The following is a 20,100-nucleotide window of genomic DNA, read 5'->3' as shown; positions in this document are numbered from 1 at the left end:
GCAGGATAATTGCTTGAACCCAGGAGGCAGAGGTTGCAGTGAGCCGAGATCGTGCCATTGCACTCCAGCCTGGGCAATAAGAGCAAATCTCCATCTCAAAAAAAAAAAAAAAAAAGAATAAAAAATACGCAAGGTACCAGAGATGCTTCAAAGGCAAGCATTCCCTCCATCCCTGCCCACGGCCCGTGCAACAGCTTGATTTTGATAGGAAACATGGGTAGGCTGCTTCCAGATTCCTTCACTTTACTATTTCAGATCCTACCAGCTTCGCCAAGCTCCTAGATACCACGTGTTACCTATTGTGAATCATGGATCTTGGTGTCCCCATCCTGCATTCGTCTGTTCCAGCTCTGTCACTAAGCTAGTTTGGTGACTTTGGCCAGTTAACCTGCCTGACCTCAGTTTCCTCAGCTGTACACAGGATAATAATAAGCCCAATGCAAAGGTCAAAGAGGGTTTAATGAAATAACATTGAAAGCAAAGCACGAGAAGGGAGCACCAGGAGAGTGGGGCTCTTGTCACGTTCATTGGGTTTCACATTGAGTTCTCCAGAAGCAGAGGCTGAGGCAGTTTGTTGCGTGGGATATTTATTAAAAGTCAGCACATGTGGGAGGGAGAAGGGGAAGGGGAGGCAAAATTGGGCAGAGGGTGAAGTTGAAGGACAGTGCAGCTGGACAAAGCCTCCCTAACCCTAGGAGCCATAAAGGCACGGCCTTTACCCCTGCCATGATCAGCCATTCCATGGCAGTTACCCAGGAAGGGTAAAGGAGCTCCTGTCTCGAGGCTCTGCTCTCAGCATTCATGGTAGCAGGAGCGAGCACCAAGTCCACGGATGAGGATCTCTGTGGCACATCTCCCTCCATGGGGTTTCCTGTCACCAACACCCAGCACACCTGGGAAAGAACAGTCCACATCTTTTGAAGGGCCTGGGAGGTGGTTCAAATAAGGGTTACTGTTGTCTTGCTGAGGTGGACTAGAAATAGAACACAAGCCGCCTGACTGTTGCTTTTGCTTTCACAGATAGCTCGCTGTTGTTTTTGCTTCAGTCCTGGTGGAGAGGGTAAGCAGAGCGCTTTTATTCTTTGCACCTGTGTGGCACTGCAGACCTATAACTCTAATCTGTAGTCATTTGGGATTCAGACACAAATAACTTGAATAGTAAGGAGAAAGTTTTATTCTAAAGCTGACTTACTACTTATACACTTTTCACATTCTTCCTGAAGGATAGCTGAGTTTTGTTTGTGTTGGTATTCTGGTAGAGAGAATCAGTCCAAATTTTGGTTTAAATGTAAGTTAAATTATACAGTGAGATTTAGAGAATCAGAGAGCACATTTTTTAAAAAGGAGTGATTTGGAAAATACCAAGAGGTCCTGACACCTTATTTTGGGGCCATTTCATTCCTTCACCTTACTTTCCAAGGTGGATTGGAGGATTCCAAGGGCTTGAGAACTAACTCTTGTTTTACTCTCACTTTCTGCTGAGCTTATAGTAAGTTTTACGTCTTTAAGGGTTTTTAAGGGTTCTCTTTCTGTTAAAATAAATGTGGCAGGGCAGGCACGGTGGCTTATGCCTGTAATCCCAGCACTTCGGGAGGCTGAGGTGGGTGGATCACCTGAGGTCAGGAGTTCGAGACCAGCCTGGCCAACATGGCAAAACCCTGTCTCTACTAAAAAACAATACAAAATTAGCCGGGCGTGGTGGCGTGTGCCTGTAATCCCAGCTACTTGGGAGGCTGAGGCAGGAGAATCGCTTGAACCTGGGAGGTGGAGGTTGCAGTGACCCAAGATCATGCCACTGTACTCCAGCCGGGGCAAAAAGAGTGAAACTCCATCTCAAAAAATAAATAAATAAAAATAAATGTGGCATTAGGTAACTCTTCCTGTTACGGAAGTTGCTAGGGTGGAGTGGGGGTTTTGTGCTTAGGGCACAGATTGAAGTTGCCAGAGGGTACAGATGGCTTTCTGGCATCTTTTCTACTGACAGCCCTGTAGAATTAGCGAGCGTGACTTTGCTGAATGGTAAACACACACATTCACTCATTGAGCCTGGGCTCCCTCTGTGCTTCACAGACACTGAAGAGCAGCAGCCGGGGAAGGAGGGACCACGGGTCATTTATGACGAGAAGAAAGGCACCGTCTACATCTACTCCTACTTCCACTTCGTGTTCTTCCTAGCTTCCCTGTATGTGATGATGACCGTCACCAACTGGTTCAAGTGAGTGGCCCATTTGCTTAGGTATTTTTGAAGCAAAGCCTTAAAGTTAAGAGTTAAGTACTGTTCGTGTTTGTTTGTTTGAGAAGGAGTCTCACTCTGTTGCCCAGGCTGGAGTGCAGTGGCACGATCCTGGCTCACTGCAACCTCTGCTTCCCAGGTTCAAGCGATTCTTGTGCCTCAGCCTCCCGAGTAGCTGGGATTACATGCATGTACCACCATGCCTAGCTAATTTTTATATTTTTAGTTGAGACGGGGTTTTGCCATGTTGGCCAGGCTGGTCTTGAACTCCTGACCTCAAGTGATCCACCTGCCTTGGCCTCTCAAAGTGCTGGGATTACAAGCGAGTTCTGAGTTTTAACAGTGGATGGGTATGTTTTAACCCTGGAAACTGGTGATGCTTATGGCAACTTTAAGAAAATGGAAAGTTAGCTCTATATGGACAGTCTGGAAAACATGGTAATGAAGGAAAAATAGGAACTCCTAAGCATTCATCTGCCTTTCAGAAAGAGAAAATATCCCTTTTTTTTCTACTTCAAATTTTGTGTATCTTTTTCCCCATTTTTCTTCATTTTCATTACAAAAATTGGAAACATCTTTTTTTAAAATACAAACTAAATGTGGAATTATGAAAAGTAACAATGTGGTACCCCCCCGCCTCTACTTCCCCCACACAGATAACCACTGCTAGGATGTGTATCCTTCTCCTTTTCTGTGCATTTATAAACCTCTGTAGTTTTTTTTTGTTTTTAGTTGGAGTCTTGCTTTGTCACCCAGGCTGGAGTGCAGTGGCGCAATCTCGGCTCACTGCAACCTCCGCCCCTGGGTTCAAGTGATTCTCCTGCCTCAGCCTTTTGAGTAGCTGGGATTACAGGTGCTGCCACCACACTGGCTAATTTTTTTTTTTATTATTTTTAGTAGAGACGGAGTTTCACCATATTGGCTAGGCTGGTCTCGAACTCCTGACCTTGTGATCCACCTGCCTCAGCCTCCCAAAGTGCTGAGATTATAGGCATGATCCACCATGTCCAGCTAATTTTTTTTTTAACATAAATGTCATTATACATGTTTTCCCCTGGAGGCTTTTTTTTTTTTAACTTGGCAGTACATGATTGACCTGGCCTTCCCTGGCACTACACAGAGGTTCATACTTTTTCTACAGGTCCACAGCTTTGGTTGTATCATAATTTTTTTGACCACTAAGTTAAGCTTAGACATGTAGGCTCATTGTGCTTCCTTTTATCATTCATTCAACAGATGTGCAAGTGGCTCCTATGTGCCACACGGTTCTATGAGGCAGGATTTATAGTCCAGCAGGAGAGACAGACTATGACGCAAGTCAAATATGGTGTGTTAGATGGTGATGAGTATTGGGGAGAAAAATAAAATTAGGAGAGGGAATTGGGGTAGGGGTGGTGGGAGTGGTGGTTTCAAGCACAGTGATTGGAGAGATTCTTCCTGAAGGAGGAGAGGAGAAGGGAGCTTTAATGCTTCCCAGTGATGCTTTGGGAACTCCTGGGAATTTTTGGCTTGGAAAGCTTAAGAAAAGATGGAGAAGGCTATAATTAAAAAGGCAGATAATAACAAATGTCGAGGAAGTGGAGAAATTGGAACCCTCTTACATTGCTGGTTTGAATGTGAAATCTGCTTTGGAAAAGAGTTTGGCATCTCCTTAAACAATTAAACATTGAGTTACAATGTAATCCAGCTCTTCCACTACTCCTGAGCGTATACCTAAGACAAAAAGAAAACTAGGTCCACAAAACTTACACAGCGGTGTTCATACAAGCATCATTGGTGATAATCAAAAAGGGGAAACATCCCAAATGACCATCAGCTGGTGACTGCCTAAACAAAATGTGCTCTATCCATACAATAAGATACTATTTAGCAGTAAAAAGGAATGAAGGACTGACACATGCTGCCGCGTGGCTGAGCCTTGGAAATTGTATGCCAGGCAAAAAAGCCACACACAAGAGACCATGTGATTCCTTTTATATCAACTGTCCAGAATAGGCAAATTCATAGAGGCAGAAAGTAGATTGGTGAATGCGGGGGGTGGGCTGAGGGGGCCATGGGGAAGGGGAGAGCACCTAAGGGGTGCATGATTTCTTTTGGGGGTGATGAGAATGTTTGGAAATGGGTAGTGTTGATGGTAGCACAAGTCTGTGTATGAATACATTGAAAGCCGTTGAATTATACATTATAAATGGATGTGAATTAGTGAATTGTATCTCAATATATTCCTGCTTTGACCGCGGCTAGGTGTCTTGTTTCCACAGCTACGAAAGTGCCAACATCGAGAGCTTCTTCAGCGGGAGCTGGTCCATCTTCTGGGTCAAGATGGCCTCCTGCTGGATATGCGTGCTGTTGTACCTGTGTACGCTGGTCGCTCCCCTCTGCTGCCCCACCCGGGAGTTCTCTGTGTGATGATATCGGCGGTCCCCTGGGCTTTGTGGGCCTACAGCCTGGAAAGTGCCATCTTTTGAACAGTGTCCCCGGGGCAGGGACTGGCGCCCTGTGCCTGAGTGGGTCTGAAAAAGCTTTGAGAGAGAAAAAAAAAAATCTCCTGATTAGCTTTTTACTTTTGAAATTCAAAAAGAAACTACCAGTTTGTCCCAAAGGAATTGAAATTTTCAACCAAACTGATCATGGTTGAAATATCTTACCCCTAGGAACTGGATACCAGTTATGTTGACTTCCTTCTGCATGTTTTTGCCAAAACAGAATTTGGGGCACAGCATCTTTTCACAGGGATAAAAATATCTTGTGGGGCCAGTCATTCTCATCCTCGGAATAGAAAAACATGCCAAAATCTTGAGTCCCCAGCGCCTAACAGAATCCAGACCCCTCTCACTCACTTCCGCCTCTTAGAGCCTTGTCCCCAGGGGGCTTTGAGGACAGGACTCAGCCTGCAGGGCCCCTGGTATTTATAGGGTCCAAGAGGAGGCACCTGCTTTTCAACTGCACCCTCAGTGCTGCCTCTTCACGGCCCCTAAACGTTTCCCTTTGAGGTTGTGATGCTGGGAATCACAGACTTCACTCTCTGCCTGCACCCTTCCCCGAGGTCTCATCTTTTCTGGGTCCCACATCTTTGTAATAATGTGAAAAAGCACAATTTGTCTGATCACCCCCCAGGTGGTTCCCCACCTTATTATCACTACCTGATCCGAGTTACTGCAATAAGTACGGCGCTTATTTATGGTGTTATTCACATGATTATAGAACAAGATTCATGTTTTCTCTGCCTAAGCAATGGAGGGCTATCATTCTTACTTGTTTGTGCTGTTGATAATGATAATACTTTTAGGACCTTAACTGAAAAGCTGCTTCGTGTTGAAGCCTGCTGCATGCACTGCTCTTTCAGTTGTTGAGGTCAGCCCCTCAGTTTTTTCTCCACCTTGAGGCCTTTGAAACTGTAAAAGCGGAAGTCGTTTTGTGTTCTGGATCTGTAACGTGACCATACCGTTCAGGTTCATGCTGGCATCCTTGGAGTAGGTTTGCTAATGTGAGAATTTCTGAGGTGAGGATCTCAGACACACTGACCAGAAGAAGCTTGTTAGGCAATGTGTGGAAGTGGCCGAATATACTTAAAAAGAGGTGCGCAGAGGCAGGCGGATCACTTGAGGTCAGGAGTTGCAAGACCAGCCTGGCTAACATGGTGAAACCCTGTCTCTATTAAAAATAGAAAAATTAGCCGGGCATGGTAGCGTGTGCCTGTAATGCCAGCTACTCGAAGGCTGAGGCATGAGAATCACTTGAACCCGGGAGGCGGAGGTTGCAGTGAGCCGAGATCACGCTGCACAGGAATTTCCAAAATACGTACTTGCAAAGTAATACAGAAACGTGACTTTCGGCAGCTACCCAAGATGATGCCTATTTTCAGTGTTGATGTATTCAGGCAGGGAAAAGGTTTACTTGGTGGAAACTCCTGTTAGAATTTCATTCGGGGTGGAAAGAATCTTCTCGAGCTCTCTGTAAGTGAGGATCTAAGAATAAAAGGCTCAGCCTAGTCATTTTTTTCTGTGCCCTACTGTATGAGTTGGGCAGAATTGAGTGCCACCTAAGCTGGGCTTCTGTGTGCCAAAATGCTGGTGGGTGAAATTAGTGAAATTCTTTCTATTCATTCCTTTGCCCTTCTCCCAAGAAAACCCATGGGGAAACAAATTACAGGGGATGAATTCCTTTAGAACTTTCCCTACTTAGAGTGTTTGAGATTCAGTTTCAAAAGGCACTCCATCTGTGTGTGTGGTTTAGAGAGCCTTGTTTTGTAAATTCCATTAAATTTCCTTTTTTAGGGCAGGAGCTCTGTACTCAGCAGTTAAAAGATTCATCTGGAGTCGCAAAATGAAAAGCCGTGTTCTAACCTGAGGAATCAGTTAGGGGACAGGAGTTCCGTGGGCCAGGAATGGGCTCAGGGAGTGGGGCTGCGTGTCACACACAGTAGCTGTGTTGCAGTGGCCTAGGGCCTTGGGGGTTGTCTTTAGGAAACACCCTGAGGGGAAGCAGGTAAAGAGCCTGGGCAGTATTGTGACTAGTTTCATTGTTTTCCTCCTGCTGAGGTCTAGCAGAGCCCTTGCTTTGTCCTCTCGGCTGGGTCTGGCTGCCAGCTGGTGTGATTTGAGAAACTGACCTTACGCGCAGTCAAGGTCCAGCTGACAAGGCCTTGTATTCCTTGGCTGGCCGTGATTGGCCCTTTCCTCTGCAGAAAGCAGCTTAGGGAAGCCCAAGCAAGGGAGTGTGGCCGGTAGAAGGCCCTCGTCGCTTCCTTCTGGAGCCAGCCCAGCCACACAACGTTTTCCAGATGCGTGAGTCTGGTTTGTGACATCCCGTTCCCTTCTGCCGGTTGGTCTGATGCAAGAGGAAGAGTTACAGTTGCTCTGAATTTTATTCTCAGCTGAAAATGTTAGCACGTGTATCTGGATGAACAAAACAGATGTGGATGTATCTGAGGATTGAGGGACTATCAATGCAGAGTTAATGTTAATGGTTATTAATTGTGATATACAATACTCAGGTGAGGAGTCAACATTCCTGGATTTAAAGAATCTACAGTTTTGTGCAATTGTGATTTGAGAAACTGGAAACATTGTGCCAATGGCTTTGAGTTCCTATAACAACGGTGTTAATTTGATTAACTCACTGATATCTTTTAAAAATAATAGACATTTGCTTCCTACACCTTTTTGTACATGACCTAAAGAGTATATTCCCAGAAGCTGCTGGTCAGACACATTTAGGGATGACAGTTGAAGAGGACTTTTTTAAAGCTGCATGTGAATATTTCCTCTGTGTGATTTGTCTGATGTAGAAAAGTTTTCCCCTCATTTTTATGAGTAAAAACACTAAGTGGGTGGCAGGGGGGTGGGGGTTCTTATGGGAGTGTCATACCGCGGCATGTTACCTGACTGGAGACTAGAGACTATTTCCATTATAAGCCTTCAGAAACCCAACCACGTCTTTACTGTGTCTAGCTTTTTAAATACTGATTGGTTAGTTTTATTTTTGCCCACAGTTTCTTGGGCAAAAAGGTTCTTCATTTTGTCTGAAAAAGAAATTATTTGCCAGAGGTATTTGGAGCCTCTTTGAAGGGGAGATAGAGTGGGGGTGGGTTGTGGGGAGGGTGGAGTTATTGGGGTTTTGGGGTTCTGTTTCCATACAACATTGTTTATTTCCGATTCCTCAGAAGATCCTTTATTATGAATAACCTCAGTGTAATGTTAATTTCCTGTCCCCATGTCAAAATTGTCACCCTAAGCCTTTTTTTTTTTTTTTTTTTTTTTTTTTGGAGACGGGCTCACTCTGTCAGCCACGCTGGAGTGCAGTGACATGATCTTGACTCATGGCAGGCTTGACCTCCTGGGCTCAAGGACCACCTCCCAAGTAGCTGAGACCACAGGTTTGCCCCATCACACCTGGCCGATTTTTATTTTTTTGTAGAGATGGGGTTGTCCAGGCTGGTCTCAAACTCCTGAGCTCAAGCAATGTGCCCGCCTTGGCTTCCCAAAGTGCTGGGATTATAGGCGTAAACCACTGCACGCAGCCTACCCTCTGCCTTTTTAAGATGATGTATTTATTTAATTTTTGCCATCATTGGTGCTTCACCTTCCTGCGAAGGAAATTCCAGAGCCTGTATTTAAGCTACCTAGGCTTTTACACTCCCTTTATTGCCTTTCCAAATAGTATCTCATTTGGTGTACTCTAGTGTCCTATACCTCTTGGAAACGAAAGAGGGCCCAACCTACAACTAAGAAGGGACAAACCTTGAACTAAGTAAGACCTTACACACCCAGAAAGAACACTGGGCCCTCCTTCTTCAGGGACAATGCAGTAGCCACTTGGCTTGTGGAATTTACTGAAGGCTATTTCCTGTAACTTGCTAGTTAACTTAGTTTTGTATTTCAGGCAGAGGTGCGCTCTGTAATGTTGGGCCTTTGACTTCACAGTACTGGAGAGCTGTTCACACAGATGTTTAGACCTTTCTCTCTCTCTCTCTTTTCTTCTTTCTCAACAACTCTTTCACAGAGGCAGTCATTTTGAAAGGTTGAAATATTTGGCCTTTACCAAAGAGCTTTTTTTTTCCTTAAGCAAAATCCTTTCAGAAAGAAACAAATGGGGAAGGGCAGATTAAGAATGCATATGTCCCAATCCACTTCTATAGGAGTTTAATCATATTCACATGAGTAAAATGATGGAAGAACTCTTTAAGGTAATCCTTTGGGATAAAGGATCCTGGGAAGTTCTCTCAGGTAAAGAAAGCTTACAGCAGATTTGTAATATATGTCTGGAGAGCTATTTATAAGAAATTTAAGAGGATTGTTTTGTTTTCCTTTATTAAAGATTTAAGCCTTTTTACTTTGCAAAAAGAAAACTACAAAAGTTTTATAGATATAACTTTGCTAATTTTTTAAACTTTTCTGAAACGATTAGCTGTAGCCAAATTATGTGGTTACGTTTTGCTACATTAGAATTTGAAAATGCAATATGTGTGGTAAATCTACTGTTTGAAATTTATAATGGTCTCTGATATGATTCGAATTTTGGTAACTTTTGAAAGTTATTTTCCCCCTTTAGTCATGGATTTCTATTTGTTTTTTAATGTTAATTTTTCTAGAAAGCATCTGAATTGACTAGGCTTTTCCTATATAAAAAACTCAAAACTTGTTAACTCTGTACTTTAATAAAATTTAAAATTAAAACTGTGTTGTTTTTTTCTCTTCTGCTAGATACATATATAATTAAAGTACTCAAGTTAGTTGTTTTGCAGAGATGTTGCCTTCAGATGTTAATCAGGTCTCTCAAGTTTCATGGAGTCTATGCTGATCCTTTAATTGACAAATAAAAGATATATATCTGTGGTGTGCAACATGATGTTTTGAAATATGTATATATTCAGGAATAGCCAAATCATGCTAATTAGCATATGCATTACCTCATGTTTTTGTGCTGAGAACATTTAAAATCTACTCACAGTAATTTTTTTTTTCTGTTTTTTTGGAGACAGAGTCTTGCTCTGTCACCCAGGCTGGGGTACAGTGGCGCGATCTCGGCTCACTGCAACCACCGCCTCCCAGGCTCAAGCGATTCTCTTGCCTCAACCTCCCGAGTAGCTGGGATTACAGGCATGTGCTATCATGCCCAGGTAATTTTTGTATTTTTAGTAGAGATGGGGTTTTGCCATGTTGGCCAGGCTGGTCTTGAACTCCTGACTACAGGTGATCTGCCCACCTCAGCCTCCCAAAGTGCTGGGATTACAGACGTGAGCCACCGTGCCCGGCCTACTCTCAGAATTTTTAAGGTACAGTGCCAGGTTCCTAACTCTAGTCACCGTGTTACACAGTAGATCTCCTGAACTTCTGGCTGATATTTTGTGTTCTTTGACCAACATCACCCTGAACTCCCCCCTCGCCCAGTCCCCCACCTCCAGCCCCTAGTAACCACCTTTACACTCTGCATCTCTTAAGTCAAACTTAGGAAGTTTGACTTTTTAAGATTTCATGGATCAGTAAGATCATGAAGCATTTGTCTTTTTGTGCCTGGCTTATTTTACTTAACCGTGTCTTCTAGGTTCCTCCAAATTGTTGCATATTGCAGGAGTTCCTTCTTTTTGAGGCTGAATTTTTTATTGTGTATATATACCACTTTTCCTTTTTTTGAGACAGAGTCTCACTCTGTCACCCAGGCTGGAGTACAGTGACATCATGGCTTATTTTGGCCTTGACTTCTTGGACTCAAGCAATCCTCCTGCCTCAGCCTCCCGAGCAGCTGGGACCACAGGCTACAACACCAAGCCTGGCTAATTTTTGTATTTTTTATACAGATAGGGTCTCACTATGTTGCACGGGTTGGTCTTAAACTCCCGACCTCAAGCAATCATCCTGCCTCAGCCTCCCAAAGTGCTGGGATTACAGACGTGAGCCACTGCGCCCAGCTCACTTTTTTTTTTTTTTGAGTTAGAGTCTTGCTTGGTCGCCCAAGCTGGAGTGCAGTGGCATGATCTCGGCTCACTGCAACCTCTGCCTCCCAGGTTCAAGGCAATTTTCCTGCCTCAGCCTCCCGAGTAGCAGCTGGGACTACAGGTGGCCGCCACCACACCTGGCTAATTTTTGTATTTTTAGTAGAGACGGGGTTTCACCATGTTGGCCAGGCTGGTCTCGAACTCCTGACCTCATGATCCGCCTGTCTTGGCCTCCCAAAGTGCTGGGATTACAGGTGTGAGCCACTGTGCCTGGCCACATATTCTTTATATTCATTTGTGGACACTCGGGCTGATTCTATATCTTGGCCATTATGAATAATGCTACAGTGAACATAGGGGTATGGATATCTCTTTGACATACTGATGTCATTCCCTTTGGGTATATACCCATTAGTGGGATTGCTGGATCATATGGTATTTCTACTTTCAGGTTTTTAGGTGTTTTTTTTGTTTTTTTTTTTTTTTTTTTTTTTTGAGACAGGGTCTCAGTCTGCCACCCCAGCTGGAGTGCAGTGGCACGATGTCAGCTCACTGCAACCTCTGTCAGCCTCCAGGTTCAGGTGATTCTCCCACCTCAGCCTCATGAGTAGCTGGGGTTACAGGCGCATGTCACAATGCCTGGCTAATTTTTGTATTTTTGGGGGTAGAGATGGTTTCGCCATGTTGGCCAGGCTCGTCTGGAACTCCTGACCTCAAGTGATCTGCCTGCCTCGGCCTCCCAAAATGCTGGGATTACAGGCGCGAGCCACTGCACCCAGCCTGACTTGAGCACTTTTTCATGTATCTGTTGGCCATTTGTATGTCTTTTGAGAAATACCTATTCAGGTGCTTTGTCAACTTTTTAAGTGGGTTGTTTTCTTGCTATTGAGCAGTTTTGAGTTTCTTATATATCTTGAATATTAACCCCTTATCAGATGTTGTTTGCGAGCATTTTCTCTGATGCTGTAGGTTGTCTCCTAACTTTGTGGTTTCCTTTGCTGTGCAGAAGCTTTTCAGTTTGATGTAATCTTGTCTACATTTTTGTTGCCTAGCTTTAGTTTCGGGTTTTAACAGCTAAGTCTTTAATTCATTGTAAGTTGATTTTTTAATATGGTATGAAATAAAAGTCTAATTCCGTTCTTCAACATGTGGCTATCCAGTTTTCCCAGCACCATTTATTAAAAAGACATTCCTTCTCCCATTGTTGTGCTAATTGTTGAGAATATAAATATGAAACCCCGAGCTTGTCTTCTTCCTCTGAAAGCTGTGGACCGCACTTCCTTTTTCCTGCCCTTATGCTGGTGACACCCTGTCCTGATATATGAGAATTAGAGTAAAGCATTTTTTTTTGTTTTTTTGAGACGAGGTCTCTTGCCTAGGCTGGAGTGTAGTGGTGTGATCGTAGCTCACTGCAGCCTCCAACTCCTGAGCTCAAGTGATTGTTCCACCCCAGCCTCCCGAGGGCTTGGGCCTACAACTCCTGCTCTCAAGTGAGCCTTCTCTCTTGGCCTCCCAAAGTGCTGGGATTACAGGTGTGAGCCACCACACCGGGCACTTAACCATTTTTAGGTGTACAGTTCAGTAGTAGGAAGTGCATAGAACATTCACATTATTTGGCAGCCAATCTCCAGAACTCTTCAATTTGCAAAACAACTCATTAAGGAACTCCCTGTTCCCCACTTCCCCTCTCCTGTGGCAACCGTCATCCTACTTTCTGACTCTGAATTCATCATTTGCTTTTTTTTTTTTCTTCCCTCTGCTTCTTCCCACATAGATACTGATAGTCTTCAGCTCTCCCAGCTTTTGATTTTTGATTGTGCTATCTAGTTGCTATTTTTATGTAGCAATTCAGGAAGATCCAAAAACTATGCTTCTATCATTGCCCCCATCTCTTCCATTCACACTTGAACTCGCCACAATAAAGCTTTCACACACTTAAATTGAAAACTGCTTTTCGAAGTCATGGGTGACTTCCATGTTGCCACGTCCATCGTCCTTACTTTACTTGACCTATCAGAAGCACTGGACACTATGAACTGTTTAAACTGCACTGCAAACCTTATTCAGATTTCATACACTCATCCTTACTTTTTGAAAGGGATTCTCTATTGTAGTTATCTTTTTCCTCCTCACATTGTACAAGGAATGTGGGAGGCAGATAACTTGTCTTTTTAGTTCTTGGGTCCCTGCACCCACAGAGCCATCCCTGTGGAGCCTTATCCACACACAGCTGGACCTGATTTACTTCCTAACTCCACCTTCTGGGTCGGCCTTCCTTTACTATTTGAAAAAGCGTGATTGGGCCTGGCGTGGTGGCTCATGCCTGTAATCCCAACATTTTGGGAGGCTGACGCGGGAGGATCACTTGAGGCTGGGAGTTCAAGACCAGCCTGGGCAATATGGTGAAACCCCGTCTCTACAAAAAATACAAAAATTAGGCGGGCTTGGTGGCATGTGCCTATAGTCCTAGCTACTCCAGGGAGGCAGAGGTTATAGTGAGTTGTGATTGTGCCATTGTGCTCCAGCCTGGGCAACGGAGGAGACCCTATCTCAACAACAAAAACCCTGATTTGCAGCCAAATAGTTTCCTCAGCCTATTTCCTGCCAGTAAATGGTTAGGAGCCCAGTGGCTTTGTTTTGAACAGTCTTTGTCCATTTTAGTCCAAGCTAGTGGTGCTTGTGTTAGTTCAGTTCTCTTAAAAACATTGTGAGTTTTCTGTGGATTTTACTGGGATTCACTGTGTTAGATAAAAACCATCTCCACCAATCTTTTTAAGATACGCTCCCTCTCTGGGGTGCATGTCAGGGTGCTGTGTGAGAACACACTTGTTCTTTCAGAAGCCTGTTTGTCTAACTAACCATGAGGGTTTGAGAAGCAATTCCTTACATCTTTCTGGGATTTTAACAAAGGGCCTCATGTTGACCAGAGGCCACGTTTTACTTGTGGCATCGAAACCACCTTTGCATAAATTATAACTGAGAGGATTATGACAATGAAAGAGATGTGACCTAACTTACTGATTTGTTCCTAACCTCCAAGCTGTCCTTGTTCATTCCTGGGTGTAGGCTGAACTAATTTTGGAAGGAACTTAACTTACAGTTTAACTTTGTTTTTTGTTGTTGTTGTTTATTTTGTTTTGTTTTGTTTTGAGACAGAGTCTCACTCTATCACCCAGGCTGGAGTGCAGTGGCCCCATCTTGGCTCACTGCAATCTCCACCTCCTGGGTTCAAACGATTCTCCTGCGTCAGCCTCCTGAGTAGCTGGGACTACAGGTGCACGCCACCACGCCAGACTAATTTTTGTATTTTTAGTAGAGACAGGGTTTCACCATGTTGGCCAGGCTGGTCTCGAACTCCTGATCTCAAATGATCTGCCTGCCTCGGCCTTCCAACGTGCTGGGATTACAGGTGTGAGCCACCACGCCCGGCCTATAGTTTAACTTTGAAACAAAGATGGTACCAGCCCTTTCCCTGAACAAACACCCTTTTAGCCTGGGAACTATAAACTGCCTTTGCAGGACTAACAAATTAGCTACAAGATTAGAAATTGTGGTTTAGGAGTCATGCAGCTGGAGGTGGCAAGATTCTAAACCCCTCCAAATTGCTCCTCCAGATAACAGGTATTTTGGAGACCCTGCACTCGATGGATCAGCTGTCCCTAACCAGATTGATAAATTGGTTCATCTGGTCTTGTGGCCCCCACCCAGGAACTGACTCAGCACCAGAGGACAGCTTCAACTCCCTGTGATTTCATCTCTGACCTAACCAATCAGTAGTCCCCACTTTCTGACCCCCTGCCCACCAAATTATCCTTAAAAACCCCATCCCAAGTCTTTAGGGAGACTGATTTGCGTAATAATACAACTCCAGTCTCCCGTACAGATGACTGTGTGTGGATTAAACTCTTTATTGTAATTCCCCTGTCTTAAATTGAGTCTGCCTAGGCAGTGGGCAAGGAAAATTCGTTGGGCGGTTACAGCATCTTAGATTTGTTCTTTGCCTCCAAGTTTTATTTTGATTTTAGAACACGCTGCTAACTGACTCAGACAGTCTTGGGCCCTCTATATTCTTCTAAAATTTGCTTGAAAGGTGAACATTTCCCTCTTTAGTTTATCTCTTTCTGTACGTTATCAACTATTACAAGCCACTTGGCATTTTCAGCACTCTGCATGAAAATGTCCTTAGCCAGTTCATGAACACATGTACCATCTTCCACATTGCTACAAGTGACAGTGTAATTGAGCTGCCAGTATGTAACTCAGGCCCCCTTTTCTCTAGCCCACAAGAGCAAGAGCAAGTTTTTCCTCCCTGTTTTAGGCTAGTGTTAGGCCTTTCTTGCATTGCTCTAAAGGAATACCCAAGACTGGGTAATTTATAGAGAAAAGGGGTTTATTTGGCTCATAGTTCTGCAGGCAGTATAAGCATTGGTACTGGCATCTGCTCGGCTTCTGGAGAGGCCTCAGTGAGCTTTTACTCACTGTGGAAGGTGAAGTGCGAGCAGGCACGTCACATGGCAAGAAGAGGAGCAGGTAGGGAGAGGTGCCACACACAACCAGATCTCATGAGAACTTACTATTGCGAAGACAGCACCAAGCCATGAGGGATCTGCAACCATGACACCTCCCACCAGGCCCCACCTCCAACGCTGAGGATTACATTTCAACATGAGATTTGGGAGGGACAAATATCAAACCATGTGAAGACACCAACAGCCTTCTCACTGCTCTTCAGTCTTCTATGTGTTACTTGGTCCCAAACATGTAGCAATTGGCTTTAGGTTTTCATTCCAGTAGTATTTCATGTTCTGGTGCCAATTTTTATTCCAGTCCCCTATTGCTGTGTAATGTCAATCTGAAAGAAAGAACTAAGGGCCAGGCACGGTGGCTCACACCTGTAATCCCAGCACATTGGGAGGCCGAGGTAGGAGGATCACTTGATCCCCAGAGTTTGAGACCAGCCTGAGCAACATAATGAGATCTTGACTCTACAAAAAATTTAAAAATTAGCCAGGCATGGTGGAAATAAAAAAAAAAAGAACTAAGGCAAATGCATATAGGTAAAGAGTTTATTTGGGCCAAATTTGAGGATTGCAACCTGGGAAGCACTTATATACCAAGTCCAGGAGGTGCTCCAGGTTGGGGTGGTTACAAGCAGATTTTAAGGAACAACATGAGGAGATACAACAAGGTGGTCTCAGCATGTTCATATAGAAATACCATTAGTTAACAGAAATAAGCTAACAGATGATTAGCTAAGGAGTACAGTGCTTCTTGGAATAGTCATCAGTTTGTGATTAACCCAGACCTGGAGTTCCTTACAGAAGCAGGAGGGGGTCTAGGAATTTCAGGAAAGTAACTGTGGGGTCTCGTGCCTACTCCCCTGTGGCCCGTGCTATTTAGTTCATCTCTATTTGTCTCTTTTGTCATCAGTAACAAATCACACTAAAACTTAATGGTTTAAAACAACAATTGCTATTATTTGCTCATGGTTTGGGGGTGAAAAATTTGTGCAGAGCATGTTGAACATGGCTCATCTCTGTTATCTGGTGTCCGCGGCTTCAACTGGCTGGCTTGAAAGCTAGGGGCTGGCAGAAATGCTCAACTAGGCCGAAATGGCTGGGCCTTGGTTCTCTTCTACGTATCTTTCTCCATATGCCTTCTGGGTTCCAAGAAGGAGCATTTCAAGCGGTGAAAGGAAGGCTTCTAAAACAGTTCCTAAGGCCCAGTCTGGAATTTACAGTATTACAGAATCTAGTTACAGAACTAGATTCTGTTCGTCAGGATTGGTTTAGGCTCAGCCCAAATTCAAGGAAAAAGGAAAGAGACCCCATCTCTTCTTAGGACAGTGACAAGATCACATTGCAAAAGACTATGTGAGGTGTGAGATATTTCTGCTGCCATCTTTGGAAACACAATTTACCACACCCTCAAAATGGCTTCCCGTTTCCTTTGAAGTAAAAGCCAAAGACTCTACAGTGGTCTACAAAACCCTGCATGACCCATTCCCTATCCCTGCCTCAACTACCCTCTTTGCCCACTCTGTTCCAGCATTACTGGCTTCCTTGCTGGTGTTCAAATCCAGGAGGTATGCTCCTCCTTCCCCCTCTCCCCCGCAGGCTCTCTGCACACACTCTTTCCCATACTGGAATGCTTCTCCCTTGGATAGCACTTGGCCCATTCTGTCACTGTATCAGTCTGTTCTCACGCTGCTAATAAAGACATACCCAAGACTGGGTAATTTATAAATGAAAAAGGTTTAATTGATTCACAGCTCCACATGGCTGGGGAGGCCTCAGAATCATAGCTGAAGGCGAATGAGGAGCAAAGTCATGTCTTACATGGTGGCAGGCAAGAGAGTGTGTAGGGTCTACCATTTATAAAACCATCAGATCTCGTGAGACTTATTTACCACTATGAGAACAGCATGGGAAAGACCCAGTCCCATGATTCAGTTACCTCTCACCAGGTCCCCCCCATGACACATGGGAATTATGGGAGCTACAGTTCAAGATGAGATTTGGGTAGGGACACAGCCAAACCATATCAGTCACCATCCTCACACTCTTCCTCAAATATGTATTACATTTTCAGTGAAGTTCTCCCTGACTATTCTATGTAAGATTTCACTCTCTCCCTGAATTTCCTACCCTACTTTACTGCTTTATTGTTTTCTATAGTACTTATCACCATCCAGCCAACTATATACATTTTCTTACCTTTTCAGTTTGTCTTCAGTGGCACTAAAATTCAAGCTCCCTTAGGGGTAGGGATGTGTTCACTCCTGTATCCCCAGTGTCTAGAATGATGCCTGGTACATAATAGGTGCTTAGTAAATAGGTGACAAATGAATAAATGAACAAATGGATGGATAAAAGAAAGATTTGTGGATGGCAGTAGTGAAAAACAAGACATCGTAGTGCCTTGTGAAGGACTTTTAAATGCCAATTGAAATGTCTAAACTCTATTTAGGGAATGGGACATAGGAAAGGGTGATACTTAGGTAGATAGTGGATGATATCCTTCTAGGCATATGGAAAGATAAAGATAGGTGCTGGAAAGAAGAGATTTGAGTATCTGAACTTAAAACAAATTATATCAAGGTTACGACAAACCGGGAAGATGTAATTACAGATAGGGCCCTGTTGTATTGCCCAGGCTCAAACTCTTGGCCTCAACCAAGTAGCTGGGACTACAGACACAAGCCACCACAACCAGCAATATATTTAGTAATTAAAATGCCTTCTTTTTTTTTTTTGAGATGGAATCTCGCTTTGTTGCCCAGGTTGGAGTGCAGTGGCGCGATCTTGGCTCACTGCAACCTCTGCCTCCTGGGTTCAAGTGATTCTCCTGCCTCAGCCTCCCGAGTAGCTGGGATTACAGGTGCCTGCCACCAGGCCCGGCTAGTTTTTGTATTTTTAGTAGAGTTGGGGTTTCATCATGTTGGCCAGGCTGGTCTTGAACTCCTGACCTCAAGTGATCCACCCACCTTGGCCTCCCAAAGTGCTGGGATTATAGGCATGAGCCACCAAGTCCGGCTAAAATGCTCTTATAAACCAATAAGAATATAATAGAAAAACAGTTGGTCAAAAAAACATGAAACTATCCTTCAATCTTACTAGTAATTAAGGAAATTTTGTTTCACTTATCAAATGGTGATTAATTTTCAACTAAGCACTGAAGACGATATTGAGGAAGACTGCATTTTGTATGTTGTGGTGGGAGTGTGGCTTAAATTGCCTGGCACATTTAGCAAAATGTATCAAAACTGTTAAAAAATGACACACCTTCTGACCTCGCAATTCCAATTTAAGGAATTTCCCTAAGGAGTTAATAATAGTTTCAACTATTCAGTTACAAGAATATCACTCAAATAGAGTTCATAAAAGCAAAATAATAGAAATAATTTAAATTCACTTAGAACATCTATATATGGAAATGTTAACCTAGCTAATAAATACAGTGCTGTAGAAAAATATCTTATTGAATGTGTTCTGAATGCCTTGTAAAAAATAATTTAGACAGCTGTTGCCAGGCACAGTGGCTCATGCCTATAATTCCAGCTACTTGGGAGGCTGGGGTGGGAGGATCACGTGAGGCCAGGAGTTCAAGACCAGCCTGAGCAACATAATGAGACCCTGTCTCTACAAAAAAATTGTTTTAAAACTTATCCAGGCATGGTGATGCACACCTGTAATCCCAGCTGCTCTTAAGGCTGAGGTGGGAAGATCCCTTGAGTGCAGCAGATGAGTTCCAGGCTGCAGTGAGCTATGATTGCATCACTGCACTCCAGCCTCAGTGACAGAGGGAGACCCTGTCTCTAAAACAATCAAACAAACAAACAAAACCTATATACAGTGCTATCCAAGTTATGCACACATGCATAAACGTACTCGTGTGCACATGGACCCAAAGGAAATGTACCCAAATGTTTACCTACCATTACGTCTTCACAGCGGCACCTCCTCCCTGCTTTTCCCTCCTTCATATTTTGGGAAGTTTTCTAGTAGGAGCAGCCATGTGTTTTCCATACAACTCTCCTGTCATAGCTTCAGTTAATTGATCCAAGAGTGGACTTTCCATCTAAGCTGGACAATCAGTGTCTTTCTGGAAATTTCTTCGAAATGGCTGCTGTCTTGAACCAAGGAGTTTGGAAACTTGAAAGATGTTGTTAGTGACTGTTTTAAGCATCACAGACATAGAAAGAAAGCCAATCTGCAGAAAGATATAGGATTAAAACAGCTGTGCAGAGGAGCAATTGTGGAAGAGAGGAGAGGGAGGGAAAGAGTAAGAATGAATGGACTTCCTGGATTTCCTTATAATGTTCCAGTCTGCAACTCTAATCCATTCTGGAGGCCCAGCATAATAAAATAATAATGATAGCCAATGTTTATTGAACACTTAATGTGTGCTTGGCATAATTCTCACAATGATCCTATGGATGTTACTGTTCTAATCCCCATTATGGCAATGGAATAAAGGCAAACTTTTCTTAAAATCCTTACTAATTTGCTTTCACAGAAACTGCCAGATCTCCCCTCTCTCCCCAGTTCCCTTTCCTGCCTCCTCTTTTCTTCACTGCCTCCCCTCCCCACAAGATCTTCCCCTTTAGGTCAATCTTTCCTTTCCATATGCAGTGCTTTCTCTGGGCTTCTTTATTTGTATAACCATTATATCAGTAAGGAATTGCATTTGACAAATGGACCACAGGGACTTAAAAACCTGGGATGTTGGTTCAGCAGCTCAAGGACGTCAGGTCAAAGATTACTGTGGATTTCTGGTTTCCCCTTGTGGCCCCAGCAGCTGCTTTGCCAATCCATCTAATCTGCATTCCAGCCAGAAGACCCTGAGGGCACTGGGCTCCCTGGAGAAAAATTCATTGCATGTTTTACGGCAGGAAATATCAAGATGAGTCTGGAAATATCTTCTTATT

At 43.8% G+C, this 20,100-nt stretch overlaps 1 protein-coding gene across 8 annotated transcripts in view, besides 1 other annotated feature; it reads left to right on the top strand.

Moving 5' to 3' along the window:
* The window catches only part of SERINC5 (serine incorporator 5), a 144,824-nt gene that overhangs the window by 107,744 nt on the left and 16,980 nt on the right, over nt 1-20,100 (top strand). For 4 of the 8 annotated variants that reach the window (NR_126060.2, NR_126061.2, NM_001174071.3 and 1 more), the window contains exons 10-11: nt 1,021-1,060; nt 2,071-2,215. Coding sequence is in view for 6 of the 8 variants with exons in the window: in NM_001174071.3 (NP_001167542.1) it covers nt 1,021-1,060; nt 2,071-2,215 (185 nt within the window). In the remaining 2 variants the exon portion in view is untranslated. Of the gene's footprint in view, nt 1-1,020; nt 1,061-2,070; nt 2,216-4,477; nt 9,579-20,100 lie in introns of those variants that run through there. The other 4 variants (NM_001174072.3, XM_047417080.1, XM_011543304.2 and 1 more) reach the window with 2 other exon arrangements.
* Nucleotides 2,304-2,805: an enhancer, noted in NCBI's record as "H3K27ac hESC enhancer chr5:79441323-79441824 (GRCh37/hg19 assembly coordinates)". NCBI's record gives its function as "activates a minimal SCP1, AML or CMV promoter by ChIP-STARR-seq in naive H9 embryonic stem cells {active_cell/tissue: H9 hESC(naive)}" and the evidence as "EXISTENCE:reporter gene assay evidence [ECO:0000049][PMID:30033119]".

Source organism: Homo sapiens, chromosome 5, assembly GCF_000001405.40.
Source record: "Homo sapiens chromosome 5, GRCh38.p14 Primary Assembly".
NCBI lineage: Eukaryota > Metazoa > Chordata > Mammalia > Primates > Hominidae > Homo > Homo sapiens.
This window is presented reverse-complemented; position numbering and strand designations above follow the sequence as displayed.